Source organism: Homo sapiens, chromosome 5 (assembly GCF_000001405.40).
Source record: "Homo sapiens chromosome 5, GRCh38.p14 Primary Assembly".
Classification (NCBI taxonomy): Eukaryota; Metazoa; Chordata; class Mammalia; order Primates; family Hominidae; genus Homo; species Homo sapiens.
Window position 1 is genome coordinate 77,997,821 of NC_000005.10, and position 27,988 is coordinate 78,025,808.

The window sequence follows — 27,988 nt, forward strand, 5'->3', positions numbered from 1 at the left end:
GGGTTTCACCATGTTGGCCAGGCTGGTCTCAAACTCCTGACCTCAAGTGATCCACCCACTCGGCCTCCCAAAGTGCTGGGATTACAGGCGTGAGCCACCACTCCTGGCTAGAATTTAATATATATATATGTTTTTCTTTTTCTTTTTTTTTTTGAGACAGAATCTCACTCTGTCGCCAGGCTGGAGTGCAGTGGCATGGAATCTCAGCTCACTACAACCTCTGCCTCTCGGATTCAAGCAATCCTCCTGCCTCAGCCTCCCAAGTAGCTGGGACTACAGGCACGTACCAGCACATCCAGCTAATTTTTTGTATTTTTAGTAGAGACAGGGTTTCACCATGTTTGCCAGATGGTCTCGATCTCTTGACCTCGTGATCTGCCCACCTCGGCCTCCCGTAGTGCTGGGATTACAGGCGTGAGCCACTGCAACCAGCCAGAATTTAATATTCTTTAGCTACTTTGACTCTAAGTCTGAAAAGAATCATTTTAGAACCTGCAAAGGCACAGGAAATAACTAAAATCCCCAAGGAAATATCTAAAATTGGCCTTTAAGCAGAAGAGTAACATAAACAATGCTGGCTTCTCCTGATCTCTATCTAGTTCAAGGTTTTCCCAACCTTTTTTTCTGCCTCTACACTATTTACAAGTGCAGGCTACTCCCATCCATGATATCTCAACCATTCATTTCTCCTGTAAGCCAGTGGTCCCTAACCTTTCTGGCACCAGGGACTGGTTTCATGAAAGACAATTTTTCCATGGATGGGGATGGAGGGGATGGTTTCTGGATGAATCAAGTGCATCACATTTATATTTAGATTCTCATAAGGAGCATGCAACCTAGATCCCTCACATGTGCAGTTCACAGTAGGGTTTGTGCTCCTATGAGAATCTAATGCCACTGCTTACATCAAAGGAGGCAGAGCTCGCCTGTCACTTACCTCTGGCTGTGGGCCAGGTTCCTAACAGGCCACGGTAGTGGTCCATGGCCCAGGGGTTGGGGACCCCTGCTCTAAACTACCACAGGCCATTGAGGTGGAGACATGGGGAATGGCTTTGAGAGAAAGGGACTGTGTGAGAGGGGAAAGAGAAGTGAGGGCAAGGAGGGGGAGTGGAAGCATCGCTTTCTTAGGTGTGGCCAGTGTTGCTTTCTGTACAAAGGTATTTTCAAAACATTTTAAAAGATACAGCCTCAGCTGAGAATCACATATTTGCCCTTCTCCCATGCCTAGAAACTCTGTTTTCTCTTCTATATGCCACCCTACTTTTAAGAACTAGCTAGTTTCATTGCCTCAGTGGAACCTTCTCAGACCTCTCTAGCCACTAATCACTTCTTCCCCTAAACTCAAAGGTACTTACTGGTGTTATCTGACAATTAATCACGCCACACTGCCTCACAATGTTTCTCACAAACCATCTCAGCTTTCAAACAGCCATGTTTCAAGTTTGTTTGTCAAGTTACCATGTGGAATCTAACATATTTTCCTCAGAAAACAGTATCACATAGTGGTTAGCTTCCCAGGTCAGATAATAAAGTTCTGCCTACTCCACAACTCAGCTGAAAAGCGGTAGAAAAAAAAAAGTCATGTTACCAAAGTAGGATACAAGAGAATGAATTGATCATGAAAATGTTTCCTGAGGTTAGAAAGCAGGGGGACGGGAGCCGGCGGGGAAGAGGACTTAAGAAGATAAACAAGCACAGTCGAGAAGTCATTGTCTTTCAATTAATCAACCCCAACTGATGGAAGAACAAAAGTGTGTCCCCCATGGCCGGCCAGTCCAGTGCGGTCACCTGTGTAAGGAGGCCATGGAGGTGAAAAGCTGGGGCCAGCAGGCCTCTGGGGCTGCCAAGCTGCAGGACTTGGCACCTGAAGGAAGTGTGGGTGGGGCGGAGGCAAACCTGTGTTAGGATGTAAGCAACACTTATTTGCAAACCAGGGCTCACTAACTTAGGGAGGTCCACATGGTCATTCCTTTGTTTATTGCCAATTAGATTGTACGTTTTTTGAGTAAGTACAGAGCATAACTTATATTTTACTACACCCCTGATGAGGTTTACTGTAGTTCTCCACATTCACAGTAGATATAGTCTTTCAGCAAAAAGGGAATAGAAAGGCTCTGTTTTTTTTTGGTTTTTTTTTTTTTTGAGACAGGGTCTCACTTTGTCACCCAGGCTGGAGTGCAGGGGCATGATCACGGCTCACTGTAGCCTCCAACTCCTGGGCTCAAGCTATCCTCCTGCCTCAGACTCCCCAGCAGCTGGGATTAAAAGCATGCACCACCACACCTGGCTAGATTTTAAATTACTTTAGAGACAGGGTCTTGCTCTGTTGCCCAGGCTGGTCTTGAACTCCTGTCCTCAAGTAATCTTCCCACTTCGGCCTCCCAAAGCGCTGGGATTACAGGAATGAGCCACCACAGCTGGCAAACATAGTGCTCTTTTTTTCTCTCTCATTTTGTGAAAACAGGATTCCTTTCTCCCTTTAAACAAAGTTCCCTAGAAGGTCAGAGAGACAACAGAGAGGGAACAAGTCAGGGGAAAGATCTTAGGTTCTCTTTTAGCTGGTCCAACTTTTCTTTTTTTGAAATCTTCCATCAGTCTGGATTCTTATCTTGTCTAACATCTAAATTCTTAACAACGGGAACACAGGTTATAAGGGCAAACGTTTTGTAAGCTATAAAGTTATTCATACGTTTGCAAATAGTTATCGAGAAGGACAAGTATACAGTATTTTAATTTGAGAAATGCATTGTTACAGTCTCTTTAGAATAAAAAAACTCTCATAATAAATAAAGCAAATGTATTGTGATATCAAAAATGAGGCTTAGTCTGAAATATACTATGAGAGCCATTCTTCAAGATTGGTGTACATAAAATGTCCCATTAAGTGAACATTAAAATGAAAAAATATAGCTAGAATTAAGAATTCAACATTGACTAACTCGACTCAATGGAACAATTTAAAGATAATCATGGATTATGACAAAGTTAAAGGAAATATGAGGCAAGGAACTCTGAATCACCACACCACAAAAGAAAAAAAACCAAACCTTTAACTTGGGGCTTTGGTCGTTTTTCTGTTTTACGTGAAAAACATTTTAATGATATTAAGCTACTAGTGTTAAAATGGTTTCAACTGGTAGCGCACATTACAATCGATACATACTGTTCACTGATTCATACTACATTATATTATTGATTTACCATAATTTTAAAAGTTAGCAGCCAAAAATAACTTAGTCAAAAGTAAAGCCCTAATTAAATTTCCTTAGTTTAAAAAAATACAAATGTGTGAACTATCTTTTAAAGATGAGTGTCCTAATTTAAGGAAAAATAAGACCTTTCTCAATCACAACATGCACTTTCCCTCTGCCTGAAGACAGCATGGATATAATTTTTTTTTCTTCCTCAGAAAACAGGTATTAAACCTGTCAAATTCTGTCTGACATTTCAAAAAGTTATTGACTTAAAATTCAAAGTTATGAAGCTCTGAGCAATAAGGCTAATATGGAAATGCCAACGACCTGCGATTACAAAGGGGCTTTTGGGTGTGTTACCACAGCGCCCAGGCTCCAGAGGGAAGTGGAACTCGTGGCTTCCATACATTGGTACAGAATGGTACAGAATGTACACATGGTACGGAATTGGCACAAAATGTACACGTGGCTTCTGTACATTGCACTTCTGTACATTCTCTTCCCGGAGATTCAGGGCTATATTTCTTTCTGGAGCAGGAAAATTTAACAATTTTGTTTACTCTTGTCATCCCACCAGCTTGAAAATTTAAATAATTTTTCGACTCTGTTTTGTTCTTTTCAATATGTATGTTCCAAGAAAATTCCATTCTTTTCTTTTCAGCCTTCCTATAATGCTTCAAGCAATGTACAGTCACTTCCTTTTTACTTTTTAAAAATCATTATGTATGTGGCTCTATACAAAAAGAACTGAGTAGCTTATACTACCTGAAAGTCCATTACCTTGCTTCAAAAAGGAAGTAAAATTTCAGCTGGTTTTAAAAAGGTACGAAAGTATTAGAAAAGTTCTCTGATTATAGAACAACCTTGAAAACAGTAACTTAAGGTAGCAAATAAAACAAATACTCTAGGAAAAGATGCTAATAGGTTGATCATATAACTAGTTTTAAACATTTCTATAAGTTTATGCTAGTTAGTTTCCAAAGTTGGGCATAAGGAAAAATGAGATTCAAAGAATTTATTCAGCAGGCCACATAATCAGATATCTACTAATAGATCAAAACTACCTAGAAGATGTTTATTTTGCAATATGAAGATTTTTGTTTTTGTTATTAAATACACCAATTTTTTTTCCTTGGAGTAAACTATAAGTAGAAAATTTACTTGGTTTGGAAGTGGTTTTTCTTTCGCTAACTAAACCACATTGCTTCTCTGCATAATGTAACACTCAAAATACTTGCTTTAAAATAAGAAAACTTTAGCATATGAACTTCAGGATTATTAATAGTTTCTCATTAAAAATGCAAAGACAAATATGATTCATATGCTAGTTTATTTATCTTATTATTGAGAGATAATTTCATGATGACAGTTATCAATAATCAATTACAATATCAAGAAATTCAAAGAACAAAATCTTGCAGAGACTATGCTTTTGTATTTGGATTTAAAAAGTATGTGATCTCATTTTCACATACCAAGCTGAGAGGCCATTTAGACTATCTCTTTGCTAATTTTTGCTTACTGCTGTAGGGAAGAAGATTTCCAATGAACTTTAAATATCTCATTCATGTCTACCATTGTCGAAAAAGAGAAGGAAAACGAGGAGGCCAAAAGAAGCAGCAGGACAGAGAAAACGCCACATGGATTCAAGAGTTGAGACAACTGACAGTAAAATATATGCTCTTTGGTTAGCAAAGCAAAAAGGGGGAAAGTATTGCATACATGATAGATACACACTAGCATTCTAAAGCAGGAGACAAGAATGTCAAGAGTGTATTCTACCCCCACTGCCAGATGGAAGGGCTATTATTATAAATGAAAGGCAGCAGTAGTGGATGCCAGGCACTTTTGTTGTGTGCCAGATTCTAAAGTCCAGATGTAAGCAGGTTACCCCTGAGACAGGACAGGCTTCAGTTCCCGCAGCAGAACAGAGCCAATCACAGTTTTCTCAGTGTTTATGATAAGCTGGGCTGTAGAGCCTTCCTTCAGTTCCACTGTGACTAGCATCAATGACCCACTGTGCACAGTTTTAGCTGCAAACCTGGAAGAGAAAAAAGAGAGACCTTTTATCATAAGATGGGGAGGGTAAAGGAGATAGCATACATTCAAATAGGATTAAAATAACTCTTTTTTGTCAAATGAAATAATTTGCTGCAGGCTCCCTATTGCCAAAAACCCAAAGCCAAGCATTCTTCTGAAAAATCAATAAACTGTCCAGCCCATGCTAACCACAAGCAGGTAATTTTAGTGCACATTTAAAACAGAACAGAAAAAGGAAGTCTATTTTACTTATTAGTTTAAACAATAGATGCATGTGAATAATTCTCCATTACAATATATTTGAGAACCATTCATCCACTTGGTATTTAACATTTCACCATGCATAGGGACATTTTAAATAAGCCATTGTATTTTTATTTTTAAAACATGTTAAGAAAAGGTACCTTTCTCAAAGAGCTTCAAAATTTAACTCCTCATATCTGAAAATGATTATGTAATAAGTTAGATAATTTTACGTACATTATAAAATTCTTACTAAGTTTCAATGAATTCACTCATGTAACAATATTCAAATTAAATCTCTAATGTTAATGATGACATGAAGCAAAATCACGTGACAGCTAAGTGCAACCTCACGCTTCCCTTTTTCTTTGTTTTGAAATGTTTAGGACATTAGATCTTTCTTTCTGTAGAGTGTAAACAAAAACATTTCCAGAGGAAACTGGAGGTCTAAAGCTCTAACTCTAAATTCCAAGACATGAAGAACCTACTGATTACACGGAACTAAAAGCAAAACTAGCCTTTTAAGCACTGCAATTGACTGAAAAGCCGTTGCAGGCATAACGAACTTCTGTCAATCCTGCTAATTCATTCTGCATGCACAGTTGAGCCTCAGGGTCATGAAGGAAGAGGACAGGAACCTCCCAAGCCTCCCTTTTCCACATGAAGCATGTTCCACACACTTTTTGGGGGAGGGGGTTTGATTGCAGGGATGACTGGAGAAAAACAAAGTTGCTGCACATGAGCTTTTGAAAACACTAACAAGTGTAGAGCAGGTCTGTGACCTGCTGTGACCCCACTTTGCAGGGCCAATCCCCTTGCCCCTTTCTATATGACACGTGTCTGAATCTGAGCCATCTGCCTCAATTTGCGCAACATCTTCAGCCACAATGGCACCCAGTTAGCCCTGACAACAGCTCACAATACATAAAAATAAAACTGCCGCGCTAACAGCACGCTGCGGACTATTCAAGAGCAAACCAACTGGTCAGTGTCTCATGTCTGACAATTAGCATGGGCCTCGCACAGAGCCCACGGTGTCCACAGGGATCTGTTTAATTACCATCAACATAAAAGAGGGAGTTTATCAGGAGACACTCAGAAAAACTTCACTCCCGACTTAATTAAAATATTAGCCACTTAAGCAGGAAGCAGATTCTCTTTAAATGAAAAGTAATTTCTTTTTTGGGTTTTTTAAAAAATAACATCAAGATCTCATAACACATTAATTTTTTTAAAACCAAACAAGCCATTTTTGGACAAATAAAATCATGAACTAGGTTGTCCAACAATAATTAGAATAATGTATCCAAACCAAAACAGATATGCTAATTTTACTAAATTTCAAATATTATAAACACTTTGAAGTTGTGTTTTAAAATGTTAGCTAATGGGCTATCAACAAAATATGTTAGAAAATCTTCCTAGGCATTTGCTTGTGCACTCTACAAGCATGCTGAAAACTTGCAAGGAATCTGACAGAGCAGTATTCCTACTGAGAGAAGCAATTGTAAGTAACCAGTTTAGGAATATAAATCATACCAATGTTTTTAAAGAGGTTTTTATAAACCTCTTAACACACACATCCATCTGCTTTTCAGACGTACACATGAGAGATTATGAACTAGGTACCTCAATTTCATCTTTGAGAAACATAAAGATCACCAGCCCTAAAATGATCTCTCTTTTCTAAGGCTCCTCACAGGTTTATGCATTTCTTTTGTCTAAATTTTTCAGGCTCTTCTGCTTCATAGGAGAATGCTGTTTCTATATTCCTGTAAAACCACGTCACCAAAGGATATGAGGTGGCTCTATTTTCCCATTCATTTATGCAACTTTTCCCACAGATTCGGTCATCACGTGTGTAATTCACTCAACAAATATTTCAACAGAGGTCCCTATTTCTGACAGGGTTATAATTATGTAAACAATAGTCTTATTAGTCCCTTTATTTACTTAACACTTGTGCCTTGGGACCATAGAGAAGGAGATTATGCCTGAATAGGAACACAAAAGCACTGTTGTTTGAATTTCAGGGTGGCACAGCCCCAAGGCACATTTTGTCTCTTTTCTATTAAAAAACTTAGAGTTAATGTTACAATTAATATAAAGTTGGCAGAGACAAATGTCAATTTTGGTGTCAGTATGTTGACAGAAATTAGAATTAGTATCTTGGACATATTTTTGAAATCCTATTGCCACAAAAGTCTCAGTACTATAAAGAATAGGGGTATGAAAGAAAAGAGGCATCTGCTTACGCTGCAATGGAAACACACTAAGCAAATCATCCTAGCAACATAATCTGCTAGCTGGTGTAAAAGCTACTGCCTTTATTAACTAGGTCTCTATGTTCTAGTGGACACAAATGGTGGAAGCAATGTTTTAAAGCGGAAGACTAGAAGATCAGATGTTCTGACATTCTCATTTCACAGTTCAGAAAGGATATATTTAATTGGAACACAGCATGATCAAAATTGGTTTGTTTTGGCCCTCGGAAGGCAAAAACCACTACCCCAGATTTATTCATCATTTAACTCCTGCACAGGCTATGCTTCAACATACATGCAAAAAATAGTTATGGAAAGAGTACTAATTCATAAGTAATAAATAGCTAGCTTTGGGATGTCAGAAACATTGATTATAAAGTCAGCGTGGGTCAGATATTTACATACTAAACTTAATGGCTGACATCAGAACCTCTGTGCTTGGCCTTGAACTAAGATCACACTGTGACAAAATTTTTTCAAAAGGCATGAGAAATTTTTGATCACTATAATGATGATAGCAGCTATCATTTGTTAAGCACTTACTGTGTTCTGGCAGTGGGTTCTAAGTGCTTCACTGGAATTATTTCATTTAATCCTATGAGGCAGGTCACTTTATAGATGAGGCAAGCGAGGCCCAGAGAAGTTGAAGAACTTCCTCAGGGCCACACACCAAATTTCTGGTTGAGCAGAAATCTGAACCCAAGCATTCTGATTCCAGGTCACACAAATTATCTTCATATATACAAAAATGCACCCATAATAATTTGTTTTTATCAGTCAACAGATAAAGTTTTTCCCATTTACCTAATATACACATAATCTATTATTGTTCCAAAAACATTAAGAAGGAAGAGTCCTCTCTTCAAAAATTGTTTACTTGATTTTGTAGTAATGCGTAATTCAAAGCGTGCGGACTTGATTCCTCATATATTTTACATTTCTGCCTTTAAAGATTTAAAACATTTTAAATATCCCCTACTCTCCTCTCCCTAAAGAGACACCAGCAATGAAAAATACAAAGCCTTTTTGAATGGAGCTGTAACACAGGGAGGGACTACGGGGAGACCAATCAACCTCGAAAAGCAGTAACACCACAAATGAGAACAAATAAGTGCGATGACAGTTAAAGATGTATTGCCTGTGTATGACGGGCTCCATGTTATTAAAAGGACACCATCTAGATATTTTTCATTTCATTCTATCACCAACCACTTGCTGTTTGTAATCACCAACTGAGAAGGTAAAACTGTTTGGCTATATCTGTATTTCATCTTATTAAATGTCTTTGTCTATTATCTCCAGCAATTGACATTTAATCTTTGAAGCCTATAGGAATTCTTAAGATTTACGAAAAAGACAGAATAAGCTGGTTGTCAAAGCTAAATAAAAAAAAGTTTCATTCTTCTTAAAAAGTTATTTTGTCTTAACTATAGTCATAATTATAAAAACAGACCAAATAGCAACAACAAATTTGAAAAAAATCTAATATCTATAATACACAGATTTATTCTCCATGCACTTAAACTATACTTTTTAAGATTTGTAACAAACTGGCTATAAATCATACATGTTCTTTGTTAGAAGGAAAAGAAATCCTATAATTCAATTGTTCTAACAATTAACATTAACGGTACAGCATGAATTTAAAAGTATTTATCTGAGAGGCTGCGTCAGTCTCCAGGGTAGTCACAAACATAACATTTTTTACACAGAATCAGATTTGCTATACTTAATGCAACAGCTCTAAGACATGCTTTTTCTTCTCTTGGATAGTCTTCCTGGTTTCTGATTTTTCTATTCTGAGTTCAATTTTCTTGTGCTTTCTGTTCTACTGGTTACCAGAAGCTGTGACAATGACCCACTCAGGCTAAAACTTTTTTTTTTTTGTACTCTGTACATGAAGCCTTCAATTACTGCCTGCTGAAGCAGACAGAATCCTATTAGTAAGAAAGACGATCACAAGATGCAGTGCCCTGCCCTAGCTGTATAAAAATAATTAGTCCAAAGTTGACAAATGTGTAATGAAGTCGCACGATCATTATATGTAAGAAATACTGGTTGGAATAAGCCTCCTAAACATCAATACCAAAGTATAGTGATTTGGAGCGCTATCTGCCAAAGGATTTAAAATTATAAATCTTTATTACCTTGAGTTATTATAGTAGAACATTTTAAACAGGCAGAGAATTTGTAAGTTGTAAAAAATTCTATTTTGTTGACTATAAAATTGCATTTTAAAGTTAAACCATTACACTATTGAATTAATAGTGAAGGACAAAAAAAGCATTTACACGTGATTTAGTTTTAGAGAATTTACACAAAGCAATGTATTTTTCCCAGTTATTTAAAAAATCACCTAACAATATTGTAGTATTTTCCTCTAACGTTCAAATGAGAAAAGTTAAAATAAAAAATAAACAACCACCATAATTTAGGACTCTCTAGTTCCTACTCTAATCTTCAGAGATGGTATAAAAAAATTATTCCCCACACTATCAGGCCAATGATGCATTCTCTTTCTTTATATAGGAAAGCTAAAAAATCTAAGTGCCCTTGCTTAAAGAAGACATAAAACATCCCAGTTATTTCAGAGCATTTCTGGTTTGTCTGGTGGGGGTGGGGTGAGATGGGGTTAACAAGGGAAAACTAATAGTAAAACAAATACATTCTTACCCCATTCTCTTTGATTCCTTACAAAATTGTCAAACCAGAAGGAAAAGCATCAAGAATACCTTTCTTTCATTTTTACGTGAAACAGTTACAGATTCCCATTAGTAAAATTGTTGCATTAGAGGACATTAAATGGTGAACTTAAATAAAACTTAAATAGAGAATGTTTTAAAGTAAAAATCAGCTGTGCAGTTTGGTTACTTCTGAAATATCCAAATATGCTTTCTGTGTGAAAATTAACTGAGGTCCGCATTTGTTTGTCAATGAACTGATGCTCAGGGCCTGCAGAGTTCAAAGCAGTCAGATAAAAATGCAGTGCTGTCCTCTAGTGGACAGCCACCAACCTGAGAAAGAACTGTTTTGATTACTAAAGAGGTTCTACAAATCTTCAGTCCTGTTTGAGACTCAAAATTTGTCATATTGTAGAAAAGACCTGAGCCTGATAGTTTTATACTTAAAACTATTTATACAAAATTTTGTTTCTGTTTATACAATGAAGAAGGTTGACAGTAGTATCAGGGCTTATACAATTAGGGCAACAAGATGTCCAATGTTATTTGAAAAGCAAAAATTCTTTGGAGAATTACAAATTCTCCAAAATTACCCAGAATTCAAATCCCATATAGTTACCAACAGAGAAGAAAACAACTAACAAACAAAAACAGTAACTCAAAAGTTAATCAAACTAAGAATAGAGAAAGGGAAATATTAGAGACCCCATCAAGAAGTGTCTTTGCCATTTGTGTTTGCAACCCTAGCACCAGCAAAATCTGTCACAAAGGTCTCCAAAAAAATACTAAGTGAAGGAGCTACACATTATAGATCTTTTTAGGATACCAAAAATAATGTGTACCAGTATTTCCCCTATTAACAACCTTCAAACAGGTATGCAATAACAGTGATTAACTGGGTGAGTTTAAGGCCTAGATATGGAACAAGTTGGCCAGGCACAGTGGCGCATGCTTGTAATCCCAACACTTTGGGAAACCAAAGTGGGAGGACTGCTTGAGCCCAGGAGTTCAAGACCAGCCTGGGCAACATAGGGACACCCTGTCTCTACAAAAAAAAAAAAAAAAAAATTAGCTGGGCATGGTGGCATGCACTTGTAGTCCTAGCTACTCAGGAGGCTGAGACAAGACGATTGCCTGGGCCCAGTTCAAGGTTGCAGTGAGCTACAACTGTGCCACTGCACTCTAGCCTGGGCAACAGAGTGAGACCCTGTCTTAAAAGAAAAAAAAAAAGAAATGAAACAAGTTGTTCTTTACCTGTACTTGAATTAAATAATAAGACTTTTATTTTAAACCTGAAATAAACTGTCTTTATGTGTGTTGATAAATTAAAAAGTTGACTACTTGGTTGCCAATGGATACACTGTTTCACTCACAGCACCAGACTTTCCTAATAGTTAAGGACCTAGTGACAACAGTAAACCAACATTTATTCGACTAGGATTGTAATTATCCACAAGTTGCATATGGTAAAAGCTTGCAAATTTAAAAAGTGACAGGATAAACAAAATCCAAATTACTAATTAAGATATACGGGGGGGTGGGGGAGGGGGAGAGGGGAAGGAATATCAGTAGTGAATACAAGTTAATAATGAAAGTTGCTCCAGAATCTTACTGAATAAGCTAAGAACTAAAATAGAATCATGGCAGAGACAGGATGTTCTGTCTTCAATCAAATATCACCTTTTCTCCTCAGAGGGTTAATTTGCGGTTCATGAAAAGGCAAAATGAGTAGGTAAGTGTGACAACTTTTTCAACAATATTATTGTATACAAATGTCAGGATTTCTGACTATGGGTGAAAATGTGAGATGGCTGAGACTGCTGAAAGACATACACAGTTATGGTCTAAGACTGTTTTATAGACACTGCTCTAATGTACTCCCGTAATGGACAATACACTGTCTTGCTGGAGCACTCTGGGATATGTGTAAGAAAAATTAAACCAAACATCTCATCTACTGGCATCCCTTACTGACTAATCAGTAAAAAATAAAACATATAAACATAGGAAAAAATATTTTGAAATGTGTCATGTGGCATTACAGCTTGATAATTCCAGGCAGCCTCAAACTGTGGACTTCGGAACATTTGCCTTCCAACCACTTGGAGTGCTGCCTAAAATAGAGATTCCTGGGCTCTTTCTCAGATTTACTGAAGCTGAGTTTTTGGGGTGGGTTCCAGAAATCTGAGTTTTACACAAACTCACACATGATTTTTTTGTACAGAAAAACCTTAGCGATTTCGGAGCTACATGTTTTTTGTTTTCTGCTTTTTGGCCACTGCACTTACTCATAAGTGCTGTTATCAGAGGACATGCAATGTAACAAAAGCAAGGCACCTCAGTTTCCACGACATTGAACACAAACCTCCTTCCTAAACCCTTCCTGGATATTTCACAGAGAATCACATGAAAGTTTTCCTGGCCCTGAATGAAACTGGGATCCCCACAGCTAACGCCTCTAATCTCCTACCTTCGAACACATGAGGTCTTGCCCTTTCACCTTTGCAGTCCATTCATATACTGGTTTAATGCTGTCCATTTTGCCCTTGGGATACACTTTATTTATGTATTAGTTTACTAGTATTGTCTTAAGTAATATGCATTAAGACCTTCACAATGTATATCTCATTAAAATAAATTTGAATATCTTACACAGGAAGTGAAGATATTCAGCTACATATTTAATAAATGCTTTTTGATGATGATGGAACTTCTCATTTTTGTAATACTCCTTATCATGCGTTAACTGTAATTTGGAAAACAGCAGATTGACGCAATGACCATAATTCTGTATCTCTCTTTTTTTTTTTTTTTTTTTTGAGATGGAGTCTCCCTCTGTTGCCCAGGATGGAGTGCAGTGGACCATCTTGGCTCACTGCAACCTCTCCCTCCTGGGTTCAAGCAATTCTCCTGTCTCAGCCTCCCAAGTAGCTGGGATTACAGGCGCCTGCCACCAAGCCTGGCTACTTTTTTTTGTATATTTAGTAGAGACGGGGTTTCACCATGTTGGCCAGGCTGGTCTTGAACTCCTGACCTCAAGTGATCTGCCTGCCTTGGCCTCCCAAAGTGCTGGGATTACGGGCATGAGCCACCATGCCCGGCCACTCTGTATATCTCAATAAGATGATTTTGTTCTCCAAGAGCAGGTTTTTCAAGTAAGTACGACAGAAATGAAGATAAAGTTGAGTCTCTCAATAGTATACTGTTTGGCTCTGATCCTATCACTCATTTAGAAAATTACAACTAAAAATCATATAATCTAACAGTAGAGCTGCTTTCTCAATTGATCTTTAAAAGTGTTAACGAAATAAAAAATGTCTCTGGTTTTTGAAGTGTATTTCATAAAACCTGTGCGCCTTTAATTGGCTTTTCTTAATGAGGGCCATTTTCTGTTGCTGTGTTAGGAATCATTTTCTATTAAGTGTTCAATTAAAATCTGTACTTTATACCATTACATACTACTCCACATTAATAAAGGTTCACTTTTCCTTAGATAATTCTTACACTAAGTATTTCTTTACCTGGCATTTAATGTAAAAATGTATAAAATTTGAAGAGTAGTAGAAATAAAGTATTCCAAAATTAGGCAATGGAAACTCTATTCATTAAAGGGTTAGAACGAATACACTAATTCTTATTAAAAGTCCTCTCAGAAAGAAAAGATCCTGAAAAATTAAATAGAACATAAGCCAGCCAAGAGTAACTTATCATATTGAAAATTTTAATCTCTTAAAATACTAGTAGTAAAAATGCTTTTCATACTTGGTGTTTTTAAAAATAATCCCAAACTGATTACCATTAATAAATATTAGAGTGGCTTTGGTCCTACTCTTTATAAACTCAAAAACGTAACTATCACAAAAGAATAAGGGAATCATTCAAAATCTCATAGGGATTTCAATTTTATCATTAGCAATTAAATAATATATAAACTTAGATATAGAAATGTATTAATTCCATGGAGTAGGGTAATATAATATGGAACACTATAGTTAAAAACATTTATTTCAATAAAGTGGTAAACAGTTAATTTATATTATTATAATGTAAACACTAATTCCTATTTCATTTTAAATGAAATTAAGAAAAGCAAAAAAAAAGTACAAAAGTACGTTTTATTAACAATTGTTTATTTTTGTTTTAATTGCTATTAGCAAAAAGAATGAGAAAAAGTGTTACATACACAGGATAATAATTTATGTCAATATCTGTATAAAAAATAAAAATAACTTTAGGTGTTTGTTACCTGGAAGCTTTCTAAAATTTAGAACATTATTACAGTCATACTTTAGCTATAAAAGCAAATATGAAATATTTTTCAATTCAGTATGATGGGACTTGAGAAGCAAGTTAAGACAGCACAGGCTATTCTTAAGTATCTACAGGTATTTTATTGACTTTTGACCCTGTAGTAACTTGGGCCCTCCCCCAGGTTACAGAGCCAAACACCAGGCCACTGATGATACGGCTAGAACAGAAAAGCCTCAAGACACTGTGGATGAGTATGAGGACCACGAACATTAAGTTTTGGGTTCAATCTCTGCACTCCAAAGTCAAATATAAATGGTTCTTAGTTGTGTGTCTCCTCTGTATTAGCATGGACAATTGAGAATTGATTGTAATTTTAATTTAAATCATTTGAGCAGGTATTACAGGTATTACATTCCAAACCAGCAAGACAAGTTACTGGCAAACTATCTTTAATAAGAATTATACAACTGTGCTAAGGGTCCCTCTAAGTCTATCTCCCAATAGGAAGATAGCTTTCATTTTATGTGGCTTTGTAACTTCACTTTTCTTCTTTCTTTTCTCTTTTTTTGAGACAGGGTCTCACTCTGTCACCCAGGCTGGAGTGCAATGGTGTGATCACAGCTCACTACAGCCTTGACCTCCATGGGCTCAGGCGATCCTCCTACCTCAGCTTCCCAAGTAACTGGGACTACAGGCATGTGCCACCATGCCGGATTTAATTTTATATTTTTTGTAGAGACAGGGTCTCCCTATGTTGCCCAGTCTGGTCTTGAACTCCTGGGCTCAAGAGATCTACCCACTTTAGCCTCCCAAAGTACTGGGATGACAGATGTAAGCCACCTTGCCCAGCCTTGACATTTTTTCTTCTAAGAAACAAAAATCTAGACAGCTGCCATTGCTTTCAGAAAAGTTAACAAAAAAAAGAAACCCAAAACAACCTATACACAAAACAAAACTAAACTAGATGTTCCAGCATAAACAGTGGCTACTCTATATTAAAACAAGACTGCAGTATTGCTGGATACTAGGTGTTTCAGGTAAAATTTCATACTGAAGAAGTTATACTTGATAATACAGCATTTTGGTGTTTTAGTAAATTCAATAATTCCAAGGACCCATAAATAAAACAAAACAGTTTCTGTTAGAGAAAATTACCTAGGAAAGTGAAAAGAAGTATTTAAAGCAGAATAAAATTAAAACAGGAAAACTCAAAATATTTATTTTCACTGAAAAGGCTTTTGTTACTCTTTTCCCTATTGAACAACATTAACTGATAAATAAGTTGTATTTTTGTGGTGGTCTGTATCATGACCTTACATCCATTTTCTTATTTTATCACCATCCTATGTGAGATAGATAGAGCTTGTCAAAAACTAAGAAATGAAAGACACCGGGCGCGGTGGCTCATGCCTGTAATCCCAGCACTTTGGGAGGCCGAGACGGGTGGATCATGAGGTCAGGAGATCGAGACCATCCTGGCTAACACAGTGAAACCCCGTCTCTACTAAAAATACAAAAAATTAGCCGGGCGTGGTGCCGGGTGCCTGTAGTCCCAGCCACTCGGGAGGCTGAGGCAGGAGAATGGCGTGAACCCGGGAGGCGGAGCTTGCAGTGAGCCGAGATCGCGCCACTGCGCTCCAGCCTGGGTGACAGAGTAAGACTGTCTCAACAACAACAAAAAAGAAATGAAAGCATGAGACCTCTTGAGCAACTTAAAAAAAAAAAAAACAGTACAAGGTAAATCTATTTTTCAACTAGTACATGCAGTTTTTATTCCGCCGTGATTAGTACAGTGAAGTTAGGCAACTACGGATACAGTAATGGCAGGTCAGCTCTTCTGAAGTCAAATCTAATGTTCTTTCATAGCTATCACAGAATTTCATTTCAATCCTACCTCACTTTTTCTTCCTGCCACCCATTTCCAAACACATAAGGAATGTAAAGCACATAAGAAGTTATAACTTCCCCAAGATTACCAAGCCCATTAGTGGCAGAGTTAGATCTAAAACCCAAATCACCTGTAGCATTTTTCATATGGGGCCTCTCTTGCTCCTGTGTTAACTTAAAAAAATGTTTTTTAAGGTCTGCAGGCCTTCCCTTTGATGCTAAATTTGTTTTCTATGATTGATAATTATATAAGAAAGGGCACACTAAATATACAGTGTGTAGATATTTTTAATGGCAGAAGTATGCCTGCCATGAGATGGTTTGCAACGAATTCCCTTAAGCTCACAGAGGACTGTGCAATCACCAAATGGATAAGAGATAATTATTTTTATCTTTACATTCATTTAAAGCCACTGGAATTCATAAAAATACAAGAGGGCAAACATTAATCACATTTTCTGCTGCCTTTCAGGACAAATAACTTGGATCTCATATTTCAGATGCTTGGTGATAGAAAATATTACTGGTCTAAGAAACAGAAGCTGTATTTACCCCCATGTTGGTCATCTAGCAGCTCTTTATTTACTGGAAGCAGTCTCAGGGGATGGCTATCAAAAGGAAATCTGTATGTAGTACCCAAACGTCCTCCCTTTCAATTAAAAAAGTCCAACTATACTGCTTTATAGAATAGTTCTTCCTGGACATCTACTGAATCTGGTGAAATAAGATAAACTCTCAACCACCTCAAAAAGGGTAACTTTATAAATTACCAAGCTATTATAAAATGTGAATATGCTCTGTATATCTTTCAGGAAAGACCATGCCAGTATGATAAGGATGCTCTGAGATGGGAAAGACAGCCTTAATGCAAAGCAATCAACAACTATACCATCAGAAAAAAAAGGGAGTGTGTGTATATATATATATGTTTAGGGGTTATTATTTCCAAAGAAAACAATGAATTTAAAATTATATATTTATACATATTCAAGTCATCTTCACCTCCACATCGTGTGTTAGTGAACCTACCTGTGTATATTATCCTGGCCAGAAGGGACTGCACCTACATTGGCTACATTTACAACCTTCTGAAAGATCACAGAGGGAGTGAAATTCTGTGGTGCAGCAATGATTACAGCAGAAGTTTCATTCATTCCTGTTAGCACTCCTGTAAAAGCAAAAGAAGGCTCCCTTTTATTAATTTCTTTTTGAAAATTACATTTACAGAATTTTAAGCTCATGGCCAAAATTTTAACTTTTTTTCAACAAAAGAAACACTACTTTAGGATGTAATTTACAAGATAATTATAAAACTAAAACAAAATGCAATTGTTTCGAAGTTTTTTAAAATCCTCATTGTATAGGAAAATGTGTAAAAATTCAGTAAAAAATCACTTAAATCTAATTTTAAGTATGATAGGATAAAAACTTAGAATCACACATATGAAATATCAATTTCAGTCTCTTTAAAGTATACTCAATCTGGGGTTTATGTAAACTAGTAAGCTTTTACTTCTTAATAATATATAAATGTATTTGTTACTATTGCTATTTTTTTCTATTCATTCAAAGATCTCTCATTGCCAAATGCTGCTTGAGAACACATCAAAGTAATTCCAGGATAACTAGCAGCAATACCTGGTAAATGGCCTCAGTATGACAGATCGAAGTTATCTCAACAGTGACTGGAAGTCACTGAAAATGCACAAGTATTTAGGCTATACTTAGAGCTAAAAGTACTTGTCTAGTGAATGGAAAGTGTTTTGCTGACAAAAACACTAATTGAAACTCCTGAAGCAAAAACTTTGAAAATGAAAGAAAAAATGAGAATGAAAACTCTTAAATCCCAGGGACATTTCAAATAATATTTAGGAGAGAAATTAAGTTAAGCAAAAGCATGAAAAAAACCATACAGAGTTAATGCAAGACATGCCATTAATATCCAGACCTCCTGTAAAAATGTTCAGTGAACAAATTCAACAACATACCAAACACTTGGAACAAATACTGAAATTTAGTGCCCGGGTTAAAAAACAAATTAATTACAACAAATGCCATCTATTTGGATCGGTGATATAAGTCATAGACATCTAATGGTTATCTATTAGAACCAATAACTCTTTGAGATATTTGATATGTGCACAGTAGTTTACAAAATTGATGAAAATAGTAAAAATCTGATTTCATGTTTTCAAAAGACTCTGCACCGTCTGGCATATATATTTAATTTAGTTATTTATTGCAAATGAAAACTAAAATTTAAAAGAATCCCTACGATTAACAGTATGAAAACACTAAAGCCTAACATTGTGAAAAGACTTTTGCCGTCAGTTAGAAAATAGAACTATCTAGCTTCTAACAACAAGCATTTTTCACTAACCACTTTCAAACTCTGGGAACACTATGTTCTGTCTTAGACCGTTTAACTTCAATATTAGGCAAAAGCTTTAAAAACTATACAAACAGTCAAACACTGCTTTTAAGTAAAGCACAGTGGCTGACATAACACTGCTGAGAGATGTGTGTACTCATTTAGGATTTAAACCTTCTCCATTAAGCTCTATTGAAGAGCAACTGCTGAATAAATGAATGCAACTATGTTTATGTTAAAAGCCTGTTTCCCGCAGCATGTAATTAAAGGAAATGTTGTACAAAGCCAGTACTTTTGTCAAGCTCCTGTAAATGGAAAGATGGATAGCACTCAGAGAAGTGAATGCATTGCTTCATATTTAACCTTAACACTCTTGTCATTAATGGTTTGTCTAACTTGTTCTATAAAAGACAAGGTACTGCTCCATTGAAGTAAAATTAAAAAAATCAACTAAACCATGCTTTTCAGAACAGAAGATTCATTATCGTCAGCTAATGTATTGGCATAAAGCAAAGTAACATCCTATCAAGGCACACATTCAATCTGCCTTCCCACCCCCCTTTATTTTTAACTCATGCTGTTTTATTGTTATAGGCAATTTGTACCACTCAGCATGACAGTGTAAACTGAATCAAGATTAATTTACATGCAAAAGAACACTTAGGAGAGCAGCATGGTAAGCAAATGTATTGTCTCGATTGCTGAGGTGGAAAAAGAACCTGGAAAGAAAAAAAGGTGCTCTAATTAAGGGGCATCAAATATGATTGCTTATGGTAGTTAAGGGCCAGAAAATAGTAAATGTCTGACCATTTAAAGAATTAGCATCTTGCTAGCTAGGAACTCATAAGATAGATGCATAAATCATAATAAAATTAAGTAAACATTTTAGGTTTCTTAAACCAGAGATTTTTCTAAATGAAACTATATCAGGTATTCTCAAATTAACAGGAAAGAAAAATAGGCAAAGGTTTCATTAAAAGTTCCTCCTAAAAAATAATACTTTAAAACACTGTAGAGCCTGTTCATATATAATAAAGGTAAAATCACTGGGAAAATATTTAAAAACTGTAGGCTAAATAATTTGTGGCTTTATTAGAATCTATCTAAATTTTGGTGAAGGCAGTAGATAGCACTTACTTTAGGCTAATCAGCTGTAATTAACTACTAAAAGGCAAACCAAATAACATAAAAAAATTCAGAAAAATTTCTAAGTTTTAGATTTGTAATTTAATTCACAAGAAGAAAATGAATAAAAATTCAAAAAAAATTCTAAGTTTTACATTTGCAATTTAATTCACAAGAAGAAAATGAATAAGAGGAGTTATCTCGGAACACGTACTCTTGAAATTAAAACTGCGTGAAGAAACCAAATTAAATATTTTTAAGTAAAAAATAGATCCCATGTTATTTTCTTATTGAAAGCATCTCACAGCTAGATCATTAACTAATTCTGCAATGCTTGAAACTCATAGCAATGAATAAATCATGCTTCTGATGGAGGCTTATATACATAACCGTCAATACGTAGAATAATCTAATCTTTCATTTACCACTTTGACTACCAATCTTATTATATATATATAAAAAAGTTTAGCCATGAAACCCTAAACACAACTGAGAAAAAGTGATAGATCATGTTGCATATTAGAAATAAAACTTTTGTTTTAAAAAATATTAATCTAAAATGTAATACTCTGTTAGAACCACTTTTATTTAATACTGTACACTTTTCAGTTACGTATATCTTTAGAATGAAAATAGAACCATATTCCCCATGTTCCTTATTTATAATTTTTTCAGTTAAATTTAATTAACACATTTAACATACTTCTTGAGTTTTAAAATGTGTCATATGAAATAAGATATTAATTATGTAAATCCACTTTATTCAAGGTAGAAAAATCGGTTAAAGCTGGTGTAACACACACACACACACACACACACACACACCCCTTAAATTTACTTGCATTTTACCTTCCAGAATTTTGCATTGATAAAATCTGAGGAAACGGATTTTTATTCTGATTTAGGCTTTTCCGTTAGTGAGAGATTTCTAGGTATCTTTTGTGGAAATAAGCTAAGCTCTTACTAGAGTAGTATAACAAATACATGTGTAAAGTTGAGGATTGAGACCTCTATTACCAAACCTGCTGAAATCTATAACTAAAAAGATGCTATTGAAAAGACTCTTTAAACCTGTGCTAAATTTGCCAGCATCAAGTTCCACATCAAAGAATGAATTCAGGAAGACAGAAAGAATGATACAGAAATGCCAAGAGACTTGCAAGGATTTACAAATACTTCATATAAACAAATTTTCAAATAGCTTTATTCAGAGTAGCCTTTCTGCTCTATTAAACATAGCAAACAGCTGCCAGATTTATTCAGACAAATAATCAACAACCATAGAAGTAAAATGGCAGAAGAAAAAGGAATTTTGGCAACAACTCCACAGAGGACCACAGCTATTCTCCAAGTGCACCTCTCTCATGCACTTAAGGTTCTGTATGGCTAGTCAGCGAAAAATCCCTCAGTCACAGCAGAGCACAAAAAATTTGATCGAAATATTAAGTATTCTAACCAAAAGCTGAGGGAGTGAAAGGGTATATAATAATCTGCTGCTTCAGATATACTTTAGCTGCACTTTTCAAAAAAAGAATATCCCCTTAACAATAAATGTGCCAAAGCCTTATTCAGTCACCGTGTGCCACTCACCTTGGTTTGCTGAGCAGATGTAAAGCAGAGAGGCAGGCTTTAGCCAGCAAAGGGTAAGAATAGCAAATATAAGAATCAATTCAATTTGTCAATAGAAAAATAAAATCACAAAGATAATTTTCCTCTATAGCAATAATCAACTTTCCAAGAAATGCAAATCCAAAGAAAGATTTCATCGTTCTTTTTTATTGCTTAAATAATGCCCAGCAAAAATATTACTATTAATTTATGGACTTGTATGAGATTTTCTTTTTGACATTGTGAATTGCAAAGGCTTAGAGTAAAAACAGTATCTTCAGCACAATAGCAGAGTGCCAGGAAGCGTGCCCCTCTTCTTAGGTGTAGGTATTTGTGTGTGCCTAGTACGTTCTGGAAGTTTGATGGGTATGATTTACTACCTCAAAATGAAGGGATCTTTGATAACACCCTCCACAGGAAAAAATGGCTTAGATTCACATAAAGTTGTAAAAACTGCTGACTATAGCATTTAAATATGCCTTAATTTTATAAATGTTATCGTTAATTAAACACATAAAATCAGACAGTTATCTCCCCTTATTCACATACGAAAAAAAACCACCTCGTTTTTATTAGAAGGTATGTTTGACTCTGGGCCAACTACAGATATTAATACTTGCATTTTGCTGAAAATATTTTCTTTTTAAGTACTTATTTTAAAAATGTTTCAGTTCTAATAGGTTCTGACAACACAGCATTTCTTTAATATAGAATTAGGTCAAAAGAAACTAGAAGTATTTTAATGCCATAATTAGGAGTTTATTTTGAAGGATAAGGTAGTTTAATGTGTGCAGGGACAAATACATTAGTAAGACATAAAAAAACAGTTCTATAGTGAAAAAATACAGAAACATAACAATTATAGTGGTAGGACATCGGTAAAGTCCCCAATTCCTGGCACTTTGAATAATACAAAACCCATTAGTATATCATCAGGTTGACAAGCAACAACTCTCAGCATTGAAAAGGTGATTAAGAATTAATGTATCATTTAAAGACATATTAATCAATTTTCAAGTATGCCAGGAATATAGACAAACATCTGTTTTTAAGGTTGTAAGTGCAAAGCATTAACAAAAATTGGAAGATTGTGCACTAATATCTGTTAATGGCTATGTACCTATGAAAATTTATTTTAGAGACTGTACAGGAATAAGCACATATTATTTGGTATGTAAATTTCTAGTAAGTTGTAGACATCTCTCACCTTGCTCTTTCTTAAAATCTTTCTCTGACATGGCCACAGGTAAAAGCAGTTCTCCAACAGGTGGCTGAATATTAACATTGAAGCAATCATCCTTGGTACTGAAGAAAAACAATCAAAGCTGACTAAATGCTTCATAAATAAACATTCTTAATACTAAGTAGTTAAATCAATGCAATGAAAGCCTATGCTAGCATATACAGTATAAGACCTTTTTGGTTTAAACATCACAGCTAAAAAGGTTTAAACATTTTCCCAAACAAACAACATTACTTGCAGAAAAATACATCTGTTATCTCAATCAAGATTTTTTAAAAAACAAAACTACACAGGTATAGTAAATTATCCCATTTGAAAAAGAACTTTAAAAAATTGCAGTAATTGTATATAACCACTACCACCAAGAGAAACACTTCATGCAGCTTATAGAGAAGTAATATTTTATCTCTAGTTTGCATACATCTTAAAGTATAGAAGATGAAATGCTTTAGTCTGAAACAGTTAAGATATCTTTTTAAAAATATTAGTTTTAAATGAAGAAGAAAATAGAGTGACCATATTGTGTTTAGATAGGTGCTAATAAAGTAATATCTCATCTGCAAACTTGCTTTCCTAAAATAAAAAAAAAGCCCTTATTTGCTAGCAGTGCTATTCATTGACATTATTGACCAACATGGTAAAAGTTATTATTTCAAATGACAGGATATGAAGAATTTAAGAAAGCCAACCTTGTTTGTTCTAATATCAGATAGAAAAACAATAAGTGCATTTACCTAAGTCTCATGATATTATGATCAATAAAAAATACTAAAATTGTCTAAAAAATTTTTTAAAGTTAGATGTTTAGGGGTAGGTTGATGAGTGTATCCTAAATGATAGTAGTGTGTTTGATGGCAAATAAGCAGAAAATCCGACTAACAGTTTTTTGAGAAAAAGGCATTGATCGTTTATAATACAAGAAGTCTTAGAGTTACCAGTCACAGGCTCATTCAGTGGCTTAAAAAACCCTTTAGAGGCCCAGATTCCTCTAGCTTTCCCTCTGCCATCCTTACTATGTTGGCTTTCATCCTCATGGTTGCCACATGGCTGCTGTATCTCCAGGTACCTAGTTTACATTCCATTGAAGGAAGGGTGGTGATGAGAGAGTGTTGAGTAACTATGTCAACCAAATCTGTTCCTTTTTATTACAAAAGCAAAAGCTTTCAGGAAGTCCCATAGAGGGACTTCTACCTTCATGTTAGAACTGGATCCCACAGCCTGTGAGATGGTAGCTAGAGAAACAGGGATTGTGGATAAGAAATACTAAACATTAGGTTAAGAAACACTTGAATTTATTCATGTGTGGGTACAGACAAATGACATAATATAAAAAAAGAACATAAAATCGACTTTTATTTTATGCTATTATGTATTGTATTCTTGTAAGTGGCCTTATATTTTTTCCATATGTGGATTGTTGAAGGCAAACCAATAAATCCAATTTATTTATCAATTCAATAAACACTGAATACAACCTTGATCCTATGTAGTGTGTGAATATCTGGGGATTTAAAGCCAAGTGAGATTGGCCCTTGAAGCTCACAAGTCTAGCGGGAGGGAAAGAAATTACACTTATAATGGAATGGCAGGCACTACCTTAGGTATGTGGAAAGCATTCTGCAGGAATGAAGGCTAAGTTTACTTCCAAGAGGAGAAAGAGGGCATTCTAGGCCTGTACTTTGGGAATGATGAGCAGCCTAATATGTCAACAGAAGAGGTTGGGGGAACATTGCAGAGTATCATATATAGTATGACCATTCATCCCAGTCCTCCCAGGAATAGTCCCAGTTTATGGCTGTTGTTGTGGAATCCTGTCCAGCTGGTGCCTCCTTTCACTCTCTAAAGTGTCCTGATATGTGTGATAAAGCATATGGTTACTTTACTTATATAACTAAGACAAAGGTGTTTCAGTGTTTCTTGAAGCAATGGGAAACTACTAGAGATTTTTGGCATAGGAAGGTAAATGGTCCCATTTATGTTTTAGAAACTCCAGTGGCAGTATGTAAGGTGGAGTAAGGGAGAAATCAAAGGCAGATACATCAGTTAGGAGTCTAAATTAATAGTCTAGGCAGGATTTTGATTTTTTTTAAGGATTTACTGTGTGTTTTTTACTTAAATAAAGCCTAAAAAGGATCTTAAGAGACAGCTTCTGTTATTTCAAATTTACTGATGAGAAAACTGAAAAGAAGTTGAACAATATGCCCAAGGTCACACAGCTAGTAACTGACAGCACTGGGATTTGAACCCAGGTGTATCTAACTTCAAAGTCCACATTTATTCCACTATAATATACAGCTTCCCCAGGGTGGGTAGCACTGGGCAAGGGGAAGATGGAATATTTTATGGATATTCTAGAACAGAAGGGACACACCTGGTGATGAATGGAGGGAAGAAACTTCACACCTTCTAATGTGAACAACTGGGTGAATGACAGTGTGCTGAAGGAGTTTAGGGACTTAAAGAAAAAGATTTGGCTTTAGCCACATTATATTTTGAGTACTGAGTTACCCAGGAAGAGATATTCAGCAGATAATTGGAAATACAAATCAAGAATCTGGAGAGAGACTAGCTGGGCATAGTGACAGGTGCTTATAGTCCTAGCTACTTGGGAGCGTGAGCTGGGAGGATTGCTTAAGCCCAGGAGTTTGAGACTATAGTGAACTATGATCACGCTACTGCACTCCAGCCTAGGTGATAGAGTGAGACCCCATCAAGAAAAGAAAAGAAAAGAAAAGAAAAGAAAAAAGAAAGGGAATCAGGAGAGAGGACAGGGCAGTATGTAGGAGTCTGGAAGCAGTAAGAATGGTGTAAATGGTGTAGGGAAGAGCTGAAGCCTTATGAGTAGATAAAAATCATATAGGAAAAGAGGATACCACAAAAAGGATAAAGCGCAAATCTGGTGAAGACCTGTATTTAAGTAAAAACAGAAGAAAAGCAACTTGCAGAAGAGACTGGAGGAAGAGTGGTCAGGAAAAAAGGCGTGTGCCAAATACTGCAGGGAGGCAGAATAAGATAAGGGATAAAAAGAAGTATAACTGTTAATCTTAGCAAGGCTGTTCAGATTGCAGGAAGACTACACAATGCAGTGAGTTGAAGGGTGAAGGGAAGATTGGCAATGGAAGAAGGAACAGAAAGCAGAAGCTTCCTGAGAATGAAGAAGCAAAGGAATAACACCTAAAGAAACCTGAGCATGCTTAGAGGCTGAGGGGAAAGAGCCAGTAAAGAAGAAGAAACAAAGAAATAACTGGTAGAGCAAGGTCTTAGGAGAGGTAAAAGAGGTTGGGATGAAGAGCACAAGAATGAGGTGAGCGGGTTAGCTCTAGAAAGGAGTAGGATACTTCTTTGGAAACAGCCGAAAAGGAGTGCTTAAGAGAGAAAGGATTGAGGGTAGGCTACTCGAAGAATGAGACCAAACCTGATGGAGGGGAAGACACAGTCACATTAAGAGAAACATGTAAACACTGGTGAAGGACTAGAAGAAGATGTATGTATACATACATGGAATACATATATATAAATTACAAATGAACTCAGTATGAAATTTAAAATTTCAGCTTCAAGTCACTGTATACAAAGTTCTCCAAAGTCAGAGGCACAAGACAATCAACTGAGGTATAGGCAAAAACCCTATTAATTATATTTATTTTTTCTCATTCCTTTTAAGGTTCTGTTTTTCTGGGAGACAGGGTCTCAGCTCTGTCACCCAGGCTGGAGTGCAGTGGTGTGATGACAGCTCATTGCAGCCTCGACCTCCTGGGCTCAAGTGATGCTCCTATCTCAGCCTCCCAAATAGCTGGGACTACAGGCACATGCCACCATGCCTAGCTAATTTAATTTTTTTTTTTTTTTTTTTTTGAGACAGAGTCTCACTCTGTCGCCCAGGCTGGAGTGCAGTGGTGCAATCTCGGCTCACTGCAACCTCCACCTCTTGGGTTCAAGCAATTCTCCTGCCTCAGCCTCCCTAGTAGCCGGGATTACAGGTGCATGCCACATGCCGGGCTAATTTTTGTATTTTAGTAGAGACGAGGTTTCACCATGTTGGCCAGGCTAGTCTCGAACTCCTGACCTCAAGTTATCTACCCGCCTTGGCCTCCTAAAGTGCTGGGATTACAGGTGTGAGTCACTGCGCCTGGCCTTTTTTTTTTTTTTTTTGTAAAGACAGAGTCTTACTATGTTGCCCAGGCTGATCTTGAACTCCTGGCCTCAAGTGATCCTCCTGCCTTGGCCTCCCAAAGTTGTGGGATTATAGGCATGAGCCACTGTGCCTGGCCTCTATTTTTGTATGTTTTAGTAAAAATACATGTTAGCACAGTAAGAAATACAGACACATACATATATATACACACACATATATAATTACAAATAAACTTCTACAGAGTACATACTCAAAATATTTTTACTAATAGAGGTAAACAATTTCAAAAGTTAGGGAACCACTGAGTTACATCATTATTTACAACACTTTTGAATTACTTGTTTATTCTTTTTAATAGAAACTCTTCTTCCCAACACTCCTGAAGGACACCACATACTCCTCGATTAAAAGTGGCTTGACAGCAATGATGCCAAGGGAGAAGGGTGGGGTGTTCAGAGAGAGAAGAGGCAGGAGATCTGCCTTCTAAGGCATCTATGAATGTCTAGCTGCTTGCAGGGGGTAGGGAAAGCGATCCTGAAATGTCCCTCCTCGCAACAAGCAAGGCGTTAGAGAGCCCAACTGAAACATATTTTTCGGCCTCTCTTGTAGCTAAGAGTGATCAAGTGACCCAGTTATGACCAATGAATTATAAACAGAACTTCAGTAGATATTTCTGAGAAAGTTTTGCTTTTCTGACATAAACCTGGCCCCTTTCTCCATGTCATTTCTTTCCTTTTTTCTGTCTGGAATGCAGATGGAAGCCTGGAGGTGGAGCAGCCATCTTGTGATCACGAAGTTGACCAGCATTTGCTAACAAAATTAGCACATGAAACAAAAAGGTGGAAGACCTTACTGTCCTGAAGACAGTGGGAAGCTACTGCACCAGCTCTGAACTGCCAACCCCTGCAGTTCTTGTTCTAGGAGGATAATAAATCCTTATTTGGTC

At 36.3% G+C, this 27,988-nt stretch overlaps 1 protein-coding gene and 1 pseudogene across 2 annotated transcripts in view, besides 2 other annotated features; both read right to left on the reverse strand.

Moving 5' to 3' along the window:
- AP3B1 (adaptor related protein complex 3 subunit beta 1) overlaps positions 2,702–27,988 on the reverse strand; it is a 294,177-nt gene continuing 268,890 nt past the window's right edge. Inside the window, exons 25-27 of one of the 2 annotated variants that reach the window (NM_001271769.2) lie at positions 22,872–22,969; positions 17,590–17,728; positions 2,702–5,235 (exon numbers count right to left, since the gene is read on the reverse strand). In NM_001271769.2, the coding sequence (NP_001258698.1) occupies positions 5,082–5,235; positions 17,590–17,728; positions 22,872–22,969 (391 nt within the window). In that variant the 3' untranslated portion in view covers positions 2,702–5,081. The remainder of the gene's footprint in view (positions 5,236–17,589; positions 17,729–22,871; positions 22,970–27,988) is intronic. The other variant, NM_003664.5, reaches the window with a different exon arrangement.
- Positions 18,815–19,755: an enhancer, noted in NCBI's record as "OCT4-NANOG hESC enhancer chr5:77312459-77313399 (GRCh37/hg19 assembly coordinates)". NCBI's record gives its function as "activates a minimal SCP1, AML or CMV promoter by ChIP-STARR-seq in naive H9 embryonic stem cells {active_cell/tissue: H9 hESC(naive)}" and the evidence as "EXISTENCE:reporter gene assay evidence [ECO:0000049][PMID:30033119]".
- Positions 19,756–20,695: an enhancer, noted in NCBI's record as "OCT4-NANOG hESC enhancer chr5:77313400-77314339 (GRCh37/hg19 assembly coordinates)". NCBI's record gives its function as "activates a minimal SCP1, AML or CMV promoter by ChIP-STARR-seq in naive H9 embryonic stem cells {active_cell/tissue: H9 hESC(naive)}" and the evidence as "EXISTENCE:reporter gene assay evidence [ECO:0000049][PMID:30033119]".
- TRQ-TTG7-1 (tRNA-Gln (anticodon TTG) 7-1) lies at positions 25,132–25,204 on the reverse strand (annotated as a pseudogene).